This window comes from Homo sapiens, chromosome 17, assembly GCF_000001405.40.
Source record: "Homo sapiens chromosome 17, GRCh38.p14 Primary Assembly".
In the NCBI taxonomy this organism is placed as follows: Eukaryota; Metazoa; Chordata; class Mammalia; order Primates; family Hominidae; genus Homo; species Homo sapiens.
In genome coordinates this window covers 24651805-24665246 of record NC_000017.11, presented here as the reverse complement: position 1 = coordinate 24665246, position 13442 = coordinate 24651805, and the positions used below count along the sequence as shown (strand labels likewise).

The 13442-nt window shown below is 40.8% G+C and overlaps 1 annotated feature.

Moving 5' to 3' along the window:
- Positions 1-13442: part of a centromere (Linear centromere model derived predominantly from reads generated in PMID: 17803354. This region does not represent an actual centromere sequence, as long-range ordering of repeats and unmapped WGS contigs is not provided by the model. For details of model production, see http://arxiv.org/abs/1307.0035.) that runs on past both edges of the window.

The window sequence follows — 13442 nt, the reverse complement described above, 5'->3', positions numbered from 1 at the left end:
ACTCTGGGAGTTGAACACAAACATCACAGAGAAGTTTCTGAGAATGCTTCTGTTTAGCTTTTCTGTGAAGATTCTCCCGTTTCCAACGAAATCTTCAAAGAGGTCCAAATATCCACTTGCAGATTCCACAGAAAGAGTGTTTGGAAACTGCTGTTTGTAAAGGAACCTTCATCTCTGTGAGTTGAATGCAATCATCACAAAGAAGTTTCTGACAATGCTTCTATCTAGCTTTTACGGGAAGATAATTCCTTTTCCACCACAGGCCTCAAAGCCCTCCAAATGTCCACTTGCAGATTCTGGAAAAAGAGTGTTTCAAAGCTTCTCTCTCGAAAGGAAAGTTCAACTCTGTGAGTTGAATGCAAGCATCACAAAGAAGTTTGCTGAGAATGCTACTGTCTAGCTTTTATATGAAGCTATTTCCTTTACTACCATAGGCCTCAAAGCGGTCCATATCTCCACTTGCAGATTCTACACAAAGAGAGTTTCCAAACTGCTCTGTCAAAGGGAATGTTCAACTCTGTGACTTGAATGCAATCATCACAAAGTAGTTTCTGAGAATGCTTCTGTTTAGTTCTGTGCGGTTTATCCCGTTTCCAACGAAATCCTCAGAGAGGCCCAAATATCCACTTGCACATTCTACAAATAGTGTGTTTCGAAACTGCTCCATCCAAAGGAATGTTCAGCTCTGTGAGTTAAACTCAGTCGTCACCAAGAGTTTTCTGTGAATGCTTCTGTTTTAGTTCTGTGCGGGTTATCCCGTTTCCAACGAAATCCTCAGAGAGGTCCAAATATCTACTTGCAGTTTCTACAGAAAGACCGTTTCAAACCTGAACTATCAAAGAAAGGTTCAACACTGTGAGTTGAATGCAAACATCACGAAGAAGGTTCTGAGAATGCTTCTGTTTAGTTCTGTGCGGTTTATCCCGTTTCCAACGAAATCCTCAGAGAGGACCAAATATCCACTTGCAGTTTCTACAAGAAGAGTGTTTCAAAGCTGAACTATCAAAGAAAGGTTCAGCACTGTGTGTTGAATGCAAACATCACGAAGAGGGTTCTGAGAATGCTTCTGTCTTCTTTCTATAGGAAGTTATTTCCTTTACTACGGTAGGCCTCAAAGAAGTGCAATTATCCCCTTGCAGTTTCTACAAAAAGAGTGTTTCAAACCTGAACTATCAAAGAAAGGTTCCACACTGTGAGTTGAATGCAGACATCACGAAGAAGGTTCTGAGAATGCTTCTGTTTAGTCAGCTGAAATTATCCCGTTTCCAACGAATTCCTCGGAGAGGTCCAAATATGCACTTGCAGATTCTGCAGAAAGTGTGTTTCTAAACTGCTACATCGCAAGGAATGTTCAGCTCTGTGAGTTCCACTCAATCATCCCAAAGAATTTTCTGAGAAAGCTTCTGTCTAGATGTCATGTGAAGATATACCCGTTTCGAACGAAGGACACAGAGTGGTCCAAATATCCACTTGTAGATCCTGCAAAAAGAGTGTTTCAAACGTGAACTTTGAAAGGAAAGTTCAACTCTGGGATTTGAATGCAAACATCACAAAGAAGATTCTGAGACTGCTTCTGTATAGTTTTTATGTGAAGATGATTCCGTTTCCAACGAAATCTTCAAAGAGGTCTACATGTCCCCTTGCAGATGCCACAGAAAGAGAGTTTCAAAACTGCGCTCTCAAAAGGAGTGTTCAACTCCGTGAGTTGAATGCAGTCATCACAGAGAAGCTTCTGAGAATGCTTCTATCTAGTATTTAGGTGAAGATATTTCCTTTTCCACCACAAACCACAAAGCCCTCCAAACGTCCACTTGCAGATTCTAGAAAAAGAGTGTTTCATAGCTGCTCTTTCCAAAGGAAAGTTCAACTCTGGGAGTTGAATACAAACATCACCAAAAAGTTCCTGAGAATGCATCTGTCTAGTTTTTCTATGAAGCTATTCCCTTTACTACCATAGGCCTCAAAGCGCTCCAAATCTCCACTTGCACATTCCACAACAAGAGTGTTTCCAAACTGCTCTATCAATAGGAATGTTCAACTCTGTGAGGTGAATGCAATCATCACAAAGCAGTTTCTGAGAATGCTTCCGTTTAGTTAGGTGCAGTTATCCCGTTTCCAACGAAATCCTCAGAGAGGTCCAAATATCCACTTGTAGATTCTACAAAAAGTGTGTCTCAAACCTGCTCCATCCAAAGGAATGGTCAGCTCTGTGATTTAAACTCAATCATCACAAAGTATTTTCTGAGAATGCTTCTGTCTAGATTTTATGCGAAGATATACCCGTTTCGAACGAAGGCCACAGAGTGGTCCAAATAGCCACTTGCAGATCCTACAGAAAGAGTGTTTCAAACCTGAACTATCAAAGGAAGGTTCAACTCTGGGATTTGAATGCAAACATCACCAAGAAGTTTCTGAGAATGCTTCTGTTTAGTTTTTATGTGAAGATATTCCCGTTTCCAAAGACATCTTCGGAGAGGTCCACATATCCACTTGCAGATTCCACAAAAAGAGAGTTTCAACACTGCTCTATGCATAGGACGGTTCAACTCTGTGAGTTGAATGCAATCATCACAGAGAAGTTTCTGAGAAGGCTTCTCTGCAGTTTTTATGTGACCATAATTCGTTTTCCACCACAGGCCTGAAAGCGCTCCAAATGTCCACTTGCAGACACTACGAAAAGCATGTTTCAGAACTACTCTATGAAAAGCAACGTGAAACTCTGGGAGTTGAACACAAACATCACAGAGAAGTTTCTGAGAATGCTTCTGTTTTAGTTCTGTGCGTTTTATCCCGTTTCCAACGAAATCCTCAGAGAGGCCCAAATATCCACTTGCAGATTCCACAGAAAGAGTGATTGGAAACTGCTGTTTGAAAAGGAACCTTCAACTCTGTGAGTTGAATGCAATCATCACAAAGAAGTTTCTGACAATGCTTCTGTTTTAGTTCTGTGCGGTTTATCCCGTTTCCAACGAAATCCTCAGAGAGGACCAAACATCCACTTGCAGTTTCTACAAAAAGAGTGTTTCAAAGCTGCACTATCAAAGAAAGGTTCAGCACTGTGAGTTGAATGCAAACATCACGAAGAGGGCTCTGAGAATTCTTCTGTTTAGTTCTGTGCGGTTTATCCCGTTTCCAACGAAATCCTCAGAGAGGACCAAATATCCACTTGCAGTTTCTACAAGAAGAGTGTTTCAAAGCTGAACTATCAAAGAAAGGTTCAGCACTGTGAGTTGAATGCAAACATCACGAAGAGGGTTCTGAGAATGCTTCTGTCTTCTTTCTATAGGAAGTTATTTCCTTTACTACGGTAGGCCTCAAAGAAGTGCAATTATCCCCTTGCAGTTTCTACAAAAAGAGTGTTTCAAACCTGAACTATCAAAGAAAGGTTCCACACTGTGAGTTGAATGCAGACATCACGAAGAAGGTTCTGAGAATGCTTCTGTTTAGTCAGCTGAAATTATCCCGTTTCCAACGAATTCCTCAGAGAGGTCCAAATATGCACTTGCAGATTCTGCAGAAAGTGTGTTTCTAAACTGCTACATCGCAAGGAATGTTCAGCTCTGTGAGTTCCACTCAATCATCCCAAAGAATTTTCTGAGAAAGCTTCTGTCTAGATGTCGTGTGAAGATATACCCGTTTCGAACGAAGGACACAGAGTGGTCCAAATATCCACTTGTAGATCCTGCAAAAAGAGTGTTTCAAACGTGAACTTTGAAAGGAAAGTTCAACTCTGGGATTTGAATGCAAACATCACAAAGAAGATTCTGAGACTGCTTCTGTATAGTTTTTATGTGAAGATGATTCCGTTTCCAACGAAATCTTCAAAGAGGTCTACATGTCCCCTTGCAGATGCCACAGAAAGAGAGTTTCAAAACTGCGCTCTCAAAAGGAGTGTTCAACTCCGTGAGTTGAATGCAGTCATCACAGAGAAGCTTCTGAGAATGCTTCTATCTAGTATTTAGGTGAAGATATTTCCTTTTCCACCACAAACCACAAAGCCCTCCAAACGTCCACTTGCAGATTCTAGAAAAAGAGTGTTTCATAGCTGCTCTTTCCAAAGGAAAGTTCAACTCTGGGAGTTGAATACAAACATCACCAAAAAGTTCCTGAGAATGCATCTGTCTAGTTTTTCTATGAAGCTATTCCCTTTACTACCATAGACCTCAAAGCGCTCCAAATCTCCACTTGCACATTCCACAACAAGAGTGTTTCCAAACTGCTCTATCAATAGGAATGTTCAACTCTGTGAGGTGAATGCAATCATCACAAAGCAGTTTCTGAGAATGCTTCCGTTTAGTTAGGTGCAGTTATCCCGTTTCCAACGAAATCCTCAGAGAGGTCCAAATATCCACTTGTAGATTCTACAAAAAGTGTGTCTCAAACCTGCTCCATCCAAAGGAATGGTCAGCTCTGTGATTTAAACTCAATCATCACAAAGTATTTTCTGAGAATGCTTCTGTCTAGATTTTATGCGAAGATATACCCGTTTCGAATGAAGGCCACAGAGTGGTCCAAATAGCCACTTGCAGATCCTACAAAAAGAGTGTTTCAAACCTGAACTATCAAAGGAAGGTTCAACTCTGGGATTTGAATGCAAACATCACCAAGAAGTTTCTGAGAATGCTTCTGTTTAGTTTTTATGTGAAGATATTCCCGTTTCCAAAGACATCTTCGGAGAGGTCCACATATCCACTTGCAGATTCCACAAAAAGAGAGTTTCAACACTGCTCTATCCATAGGAGGGTTCAACTCTGTGAGTTGAATGCAATCATCACAGAGAAGTTTCTGAGAAGGCTTCTCTCCAGTTTTTATGTGACCATAATTCGTTTTCCACCACAGGCCTGAAAGCGCTCCAAATGTCCACTTGCAGACACTACGAAAAGCATGTTTCAGAACTACTCTATGAAAAGCAACGTGAAACTCTGGGAGTTGAACACAAACATCACAGAGAAGTTTCTGAGAATGCTTCTGTTTAGCTTTTCTGTGAAGATTCTCCCGTTTCCAACGAAATCTTCAAAGAGGTCGAAATATCCACTTGCAGATTCCACAGAAAGAGTGATTGGAAACTGCTGTTTGAAAAGGAACCTTCAACTCTGTGAGTTGAATGCAATCATCACAAAGAAGTTTCTGACAATGCTTCTATCTAGCTTTTACGGGAAGATAATTCCTTTTCCACCACAGGCCTCAAAGCTCCCCAAATGTCCACTTGCACATTCTGGAAAAAGAGTGTTTCAAAGCTTCTCTCTCGAAAGGAAAGTTCAACTCTGTGAGTTGAATGCAAGCATCACAAAGAAGTTTCTGAGAATGCTACTGTCTAGCTTTTATATGAAGCTATTTCCTTTACTACCATAGGCCTCAAAGCGGTCCATATCTCCACTTGCAGATTCTACACAAAGAGAGTTTCCAAACTGCTCTGTCAAAGGGAATGTTCAACTCTGTGACTTGAATGCAATCATCACAAAGTAGTTTCTGAGAATGCTTCTGTTTTAGTTCTGTGCGTTTTATCCCGTTTCCAACGAAATCCTCAGAGAGGCCCAAATATCCACTTGCAGATTCTACAAATAGTGTGTTTCGAAACTGCTCCATCCAAAGGAATGTTCAGCTCTGTGAGTTAAACTCAGTCGTCACCAAGAGTTTTCTGTGAATGCTTCTGTTTTAGTTCTGTGCGGTTTATCCCGTTTCCAACGAAATCCTCAGAGAGGACCAAATATCCACTTGCAGTTTCTACAAAAAGAGTGTTTCAAAGCTGCACTATCAAAGAAAGGTTCAGCACTGTGAGTTGAATGCAAACATCACGAAGAGGGCTCTGAGAATTCTTCTGTTTAGTTCTGTGCGGTTTATCCCGTTTCCAACGAAATCCTCAGAGAGGACCAAATATCCACTTGCAGTTTCTACAAGAAGAGTGTTTCAAAGCTGAACTATCAAAGAAAGGTTCAGCACTGTGAGTTGAATGCAAACATCACGAAGAGGGTTCTGAGAATGCTTCTGTCTTCTTTCTATAGGAAGTTATTTCCTTTACTACGGTAGGCCTCAAAGAAGTGCAATTATCCCCTTGCAGTTTCTACAAAAAGAGTGTTTCAAACCTGAACTATCAAAGAAAGGTTCCACACTGTGAGTTGAATGCAGACATCACGAAGAAGTTCTGAGAATGCTTCTGTTTAGTCAGCTGAAATTATCCCGTTTCCAACGAATTCCTCAGAGAGGTCCAAATATGCACTTGCAGATTCTGCAGAAAGTGTGTTTCTAAACTGCTACATCGCAAGGAATGTTCAGCTCTGTGAGTTCCACTCAATCATCCCAAAGAATTTTCTGAGAAAGCTTCTGTCTAGATGTCGTGTGAAGATATACCCGTTTCGAACGAAGGACACAGAGTGGTCCAAATATCCACTTGTAGATCCTGCAAAAAGAGTGTTTCAAACGTGAACTTTGAAAGGAAAGTTCAACTCTGGGATTTGAATGCAAACATCACAAAGAAGATTCTGAGACTGCTTCTGTATAGTTTTTATGTGAAGATGATTCCGTTTCCAACGAAATCTTCAAAGAGGTCTACATGTCCCCTTGCAGATGCCACAGAAAGAGAGTTTCAAAACTGCGCTCTCAAAAGGAGTGTTCAACTCCGTGAGTTGAATGCAGTCATCACAGAGAAGCTTCTGAGAATGCTTCTATCTAGTATTTAGGTGAAGATATTTCCTTTTCCACCACAAACCACAAAGCCCTCCAAACGTCCACTTGCAGATTCTAGAAAAAGAGTGTTTCATAGCTGCTCTTTCCAAAGGAAAGTTCAACTCTGGGAGTTGAATACAAACATCACCAAAAAGTTCCTGAGAATGCATCTGTCTAGTTTTTCTATGAAGCTATTCCCTTTACTACCACAGGCCTCAAAGCGCTCCAAATCTCCACTTGCACATTCCACAACAAGAGTGTTTCCAAACTGCTCTATCAATAGGAATGTTCAACTCCTGTGAGGTGAATGCAATCATCACAAAGCAGTTTCTGAGAATGCTTTCCGTTTAGTTAGGTGCAGTTATCCCGTTTCCAACGAAATCCTCAGAAAGATCCAAATATCCACTTGTAGATTCTACAAAAAGTGTGTCTCAAACCTGCTCCATCCAAAGGAATGTTCAGCTCTGTGAGTTAAACTCAATCATCACAAAGTATTTTCTGAGAATGCTTCTGTCTAGATTTTATGCGAAGATATACCCGTTTCGAACGAAGGCCACAGAGTGGTCCAAATAGCCACTTGCAGATCCTACAGAAAGAGTGTTTCAAACCTGAACTATCAAAGGAAGGTTCAACTCTGGGATTTGAATGCAAACATCACCAAGAAGTTTCTGAGAATGCTTCTGTTTAGTTTTTATGTGAAGATATTCCCGTTTCCAAAGACATCTTCGGAGAGGTCCACATATCCACTTGCAGATTCCACAAAAAGAGAGTTTCAACACTGCTCTATCCATAGGAGGGTTCAACTCTGTGAGTTGAATGCAATCATCACAGAGAAGTTTCTGAGAAGGCTTCTCTCCAGTTTTTATGTGACCATAATTCGTTTTCCACCACCGGCCTGAAAGCGCTCCAAATGTCCACTTGCAGACACTACGAAAAGCATGTTTCAGAACTACTCTATGAAAAGCAACGTGAAACTCTGGGAGTTGAACACAAACATCACAGAGAAGTTTCTGAGAATGCTTCTGTTTTAGTTCTGTGCGTTTTATCCCGTTTCCAACGAAATCCTCAGAGAGGCCCAAATATCCACTTGCAGATTCCACAGAAAGAGTGATTGGAAACTGCTGTTTGAAAAGGAACCTTCAACTCTGTGAGTTGAATGCAATCATCACAAAGAAGTTTCTGACAATGCTTCTATCTAGCTTTTATGGGAAGTTAATTCCTTTTCCACCACAGGCCTCAAAGCCCTCCAAATGTCCACTTGCAGATTCTGGAAAAACAGTGTTTCAAAGCTTCTCTCTCGAAAGGAAAGTTCAACTCTGTGAGTTGAATGCAAGCATCACAAAGAAGTTTCTGAGAATGCTACTGTCTAGCTTTTATATGAAGCTATTTCCTTTACTACCATAGGCCTCAAAGCGGTCCATATCTCCACTTGCAGATTCTACACAAAGAGAGTTTCCAAACTGCTCTGTCAAAGGGAATGTTCAACTCTGTGACTTGAATGCAATCATCACAAAGTAGTTTCTGAGAATGCTTCTGTTTTAGTTCTGTGCGGTTTATCCCGTTTCCAACGAAATCCTCAGAGAGGCCCACATATCCACTTGCACATTCTACAAATAGTGTGTTTTGAAACTGCTCCATCCAAAGGAATGTTCAGCTCTGTGAGTTAAACTCAGTCGTCACCAGGAGTTTTCTGTGAATGCTTCTGTTTAGTTCTGTGCGTTTTATCCCTTTTCCAACGAAATCCTCAGAGAGGACCAAATATCCATTTGCAGTTTCTACAAAAAGAGTGTTTCAAAGCTGAACTATCAAAGAAAGGTTCAGCACTGTGAGTTGAATGCAAACATCACGAAGAGGGTTCTGAGAATGCTTCTGTCTTCTTTCTATAGGAAGTTATTTCCTTTACGACGGTAGGCCTCAAAGAAGTGCAATTATCCCCTTGCAGTTTCTACAAAAAGAATGTTTCAAACCTGAACTATCAAAGAAAGGTTCCACACTGTGAGTTGAATGCAGACATCACGAAGAAGGTTCTGAGAATGCTTCTGTTTAGTCAGCTGAAATTATCCCGTTTCCAACGAATTCCTCAGAGAGGTTCAAATATGCACTTGCAGATTCTGCAGAAAGTGTGTTTCTAAACTGCTACATCGCAAGGAATGTTCAGCTCTGTGAGTTCCACTCAATCATCCCAAAGAATTTTCTGAGAAAGCTTCTGTCTAGATGTCTTGTGAAGATATACCCGTTTCGAACGAAGGACACAGAGTGGTCCAAATATCCACTTGTAGATCCTGCAAAAAGAGTGTTTCAAACGTGAACTTTGAAAGGAAAGTTCAACTCTGGGATTTGAATGCAAACATCACAAAGAAGATTCTGAGACTGCTTCTGTATAGTTTTTATGTGAAGATGATTCCGTTTCCAACGAAATCTTCAAAGAGGTCTACATGTCCCCTTGCAGATGCCACAGAAAGAGAGTTTCAAAACTGCGCTCTCAAAAGGAGTGTTCAACTCCGTGAGTTGAATGCAGTCATCACAGAGAAGCTTCTGAGGATGCTTCTATCTAGTATTTAGGTGAAGATATTTCCTTTTCCACCACAAACCACAAAGCCCTCCAAACGTCCACTTGCAGATTTTAGAAAAAGAGTGTTTCATAGCTGCTCTTTCCAAAGGAAAGTTCAACTCTGGGAGTTGAATACAAACATCACCAAAAAGTTCCTGAGAATGCATCTGTCTAGTTTTTCTATGAAGCTATTCCCTTTACTACCATAGGCCTCAAAGCGCTCCAAATCTCCACTTGCACATTCCACAAGAAGAGTGTTTCCAAACTGCTCTATCAATAGGAATGTTCAACTCTGTGAGGTGAATGCAATCATCACAAAGCAGTTTCTGAGAATGCTTCCGTTTAGTTAGGTGCAGTTATCCCGTTTCCAACGAAATCCTCAGAGAGGTCCAAATATCCACTTGTAGATTCTACAAAAAGTGTGTCTCAAACCTGCTCCATCCAAAGGAATGTTCAGCTCTGTGAGTTCAACTCAGTCATCAAAAAGTATTTTCTGAGAATGCTTCTGTCTAGATTTTATGCGAAGATGTACCCGTTTCGAACGAAGGCCACAGAGTGGTCCAAATATCCACTTGCAGATCCTACAAAAAGAGTGTTTCAAACCTGAACTCTCAAAGGAAGGTTCAACTCTGGGATTTGAATGCAAACATCACGAAGAAGTTTCTGAGAATGCTTCTGTTTAGTTTTTATGTGAAGATATGCCCGTTTCCAAAGACATCTTCGGAGAGGTCCACATATCCACTTGCAGATTCCACAAAAAGAGAGTTTCAACAATGCTCTATCCATAGGAGGGTTCAAATCTGTGAGTTGAATGCAATCATCACAGAGAAGTTTCTGAGAAGGCTTCTCTCCAGTTTTTATGGGACCATAATTCGTTTTCCACCACAGGCCTGAAAGCACTCCAAATGTCCACTTGCAGACACTACGAAAAGCATGTTTCAGAACTACTCTATGAAAAGCAATGTGAAACTCTGGGAGTTGAACACAAACATCACAGAGAAGTTTCTGAGAATGCTTCTGTTTAGCTTTTCTGTGAAGATTCTCCCGTTTCCAACGAAATCTTCAAAGAGGTCCAAATATCCACTTGCAGATTCCACAGAAAGAGTGTTTGGAAACTGCTGTTTGTAAAGAAACCTTCATCTCTGTGAGTTGAATGCAATCATCACAAAGAAGTTTCTGACAATGCTTCTATCTAGCTTTTACGGGAAGTTAATTCCTTTTCCACCACAGGCCTCAAAGCCCTCCAAATGTCCACTTGCAGATTCTGGAAAAAGAGTGTTTCAAAGCTTCTCTCTCGAAAGGAAAGTTCAACTCTGTGAGTTGAATGCAAGCATCACAAAGAAGTTTCTGAGAATGCTACTGTCTAGCTTTCATATGAAGCTATTACCTTTACTACCATAGGCCTCAAAGCGGTCCATATCTCCACTTGCAGATTCTACACAAAGAGAGTTTCCAAACTGCTCTGTCAAAGGGAATGTTCAACTCTGTGACTTGAATGCAATCGTCACAAAGTAGTTTCTGAGAATGCTTCTGTTTAGTTCTGTGCGGTTTATCCCGTTTCCAACGAAATCCTCAGAGAGGCCCAAATATCCACTTGCACATTCTACAAATAGTGTGTTTCGAAACTGCTCCATCCAAAGGAATGTTCAGCTCTGTGAGTTAAACTCAGTCGTCACCAAGAGTTTTCTGTGAATGCTTCTGTTTTAGTTCTGTGCGGTTTATCCCGTTTCCAACGAAATCCTCAGAGAGGTCCAAATATCTACTTGCAGTTTCTACAGAAAGACCGTTTCAAACCTGAACTATCAAAGAAAGGTTCAACACTGTGAGTTGAATGCAAACATCACGAAGAAGTTCTGAGAATGCTTCTGTTTAGTTCTGTGCGGTTTATCCCGTTTCCAACGAAATCCTCAGAGAGGACCAAATATCCACTTGCAGTTTCTACAAGAAGAGTGTTTCAAAGCTGAACTATCAAAGAAAGGTTCAGCACTGTGAGTTGAATGCAAACATCACGAAGAGGGTTCTGAGAATGCTTCTGTCTTCTTTCTATAGGAAGTTATTTCCTTTACTACGGTAGGCCTCAAAGAAGTGCAATTATCCCCTTGCAGTTTCTACAAAAAGAGTGTTTCAAACCTGAACTATCAAAGAAAGGTTCCACACTGTGAGTTGAATGCAGACATCACGAAGAAGGTTCTGAGAATGCTTCTGTTTAGTCAGCTGAATTATCCCGTTTCCAACGAATTCCTCAGAGAGGTCCAAATATGCACTTGCAGATTCTGCAGAAAGTGTGTTTCTAAACTGCTACATCGCAAGGAATGTTCAGCTCTGTGAGTTCCACTCAATCATCCCAAAGAATTTTCTGAGAAAGCTTCTGTCTAGATGTCATGTGAAGATATACCCGTCTCAAACGAAGGACACAGAGTGGTCCAAATATCCACTTGTAGATCCTGCAAAAAGAGTGTTTCAAACGTGAACTTTGAAAGGAAAGTTCAACTCTGGGATTTGAATGCAAACAACACAAAGAAGATTCTGAGACTGCTTCTGTATAGTTTTTATGTGAAGATGATTCCGTTTCCAACGAAATCTTCAAAGAGGTCTACATGTCCCCTTGCAGATGCCACAGAAAGAGAGTTTCAAAACTGCGCTCTCAAAAGGAGTGTTCAACTCCGTGAGTTGAATGCAGTCATCACAGAGAAGCTTCTGAGAATGCTTCTATCTAGTATTTAGGTGAAGATATTTCCTTTTCCACCACAAACCACAAAGCCCTCCAAACGTCCACTTGCAGATTCTAGAAAAAGAGTGTTTCATAGCTGCTCTTTCCAAAGGAAAGTTCAACTCTGGGAGTTGAATACAAACATCACCAAAAAGTTCCTGAGAATGCATCTGTCTAGTTTTTCTATGAAGCTATTCCCTTTACTACCACAGGCCTCAAAGCGCTCCAAATCTCCACTTGCACATTCCGCAACAAGAGTGTTTCCAAACTGCTCTATCAATAGGAATGTTCAACTCTGTGAGGTGAATGCAATCATCACAAAGCAGTTTCTGAGAATGCTTCCGTTTAGTTAGGTGCAGTTATCCCGTTTCCAACGAAATCCTCAGAGAGGTCCAAATATCCACTTGTAGATTCTACAAAAAGTGTGTCTCAAACCTGCTCCATCCAAAGGAATGGTCAGCTCTGTGATTTAAACTCAATCATCACAAAGTATTTTCTGAGAATGCTTCTGTCTAGATTTTATGCGAAGATATACCCGTTTCGAACGAAGGCCACAGAGTGGTCCAAATAGCCACTTGCAGATCCTACAAAAAGAGTGTTTCAAACCTGAACTATCAAAGGAAGGTTCAAGTCTGGGATTTGAATGCAAACATCACCAAGAAGTTTCTGAGAATGCTTCTGTTTAGTTTTTATGTGAAGATATTCCCGTTTCCAAAGACATCTTCGGAGAGGTCCACATATCCACTTGCAGATTCCACAAAAAGAGAGTTTCAACACTGCTCTATCCATAGGAGGGTTCAACTCTGTGAGTTGAATGCAATCATCACAGAGAAGATTCTGAGAAGGCTTCTCTCCAGTTTTTATGGGACCATAATTCGTTTTCCACCACAGGCCTGAAAGCGCTCCAAATGTCCACTTGCAGATACTACGAAAAGCATGTTTCAGAACTACTCTATGAAAAGCAATGTGAAACTCTGGGAGTTGAACACAAACATCACAGAGAAGTTTCTGAGAATGCTTCTGTTTAGCTTTTCTGTGAAGATTCTCCCGTTTCCAACGAAATCTTCAAAGAGGTCCAAATATCCACTTGCAGATTCCACAGAAAGAGTGTTTGGAAACTGCTGTTTGTAAAGGAACCTTCATTCTCTGTGAGTTGAATGCAATCATCACAAAGAAGTTTCTGACAATGCTTCTATCTAGCTTTTACGGGAAGATAATTCCTTTTCCACTACAGGCCTCAAAGCCCTCCAAATGTCCTCTTGCAGATTCTGGAAAAAGAGTGTTTCAAAGCTTCTCTCTCGAAAGGAAAGTTCAACTCTGTGAGTTAAATGCAAGCATCACAAAGAAGTTTCTGAGAATGCTACTGTCTAGCTTTTATATGAAGCTATTTCCTTTACTACCATAGTCCTCAAAGCATTCCATATCTCCACTTGCAGATTCTACACAAAGAGAGTTTCCAAACTTCTCTGTCAAAGGGAATGTTCAGCTCTGTGACTTGAATGCAATCATCACAAAGTA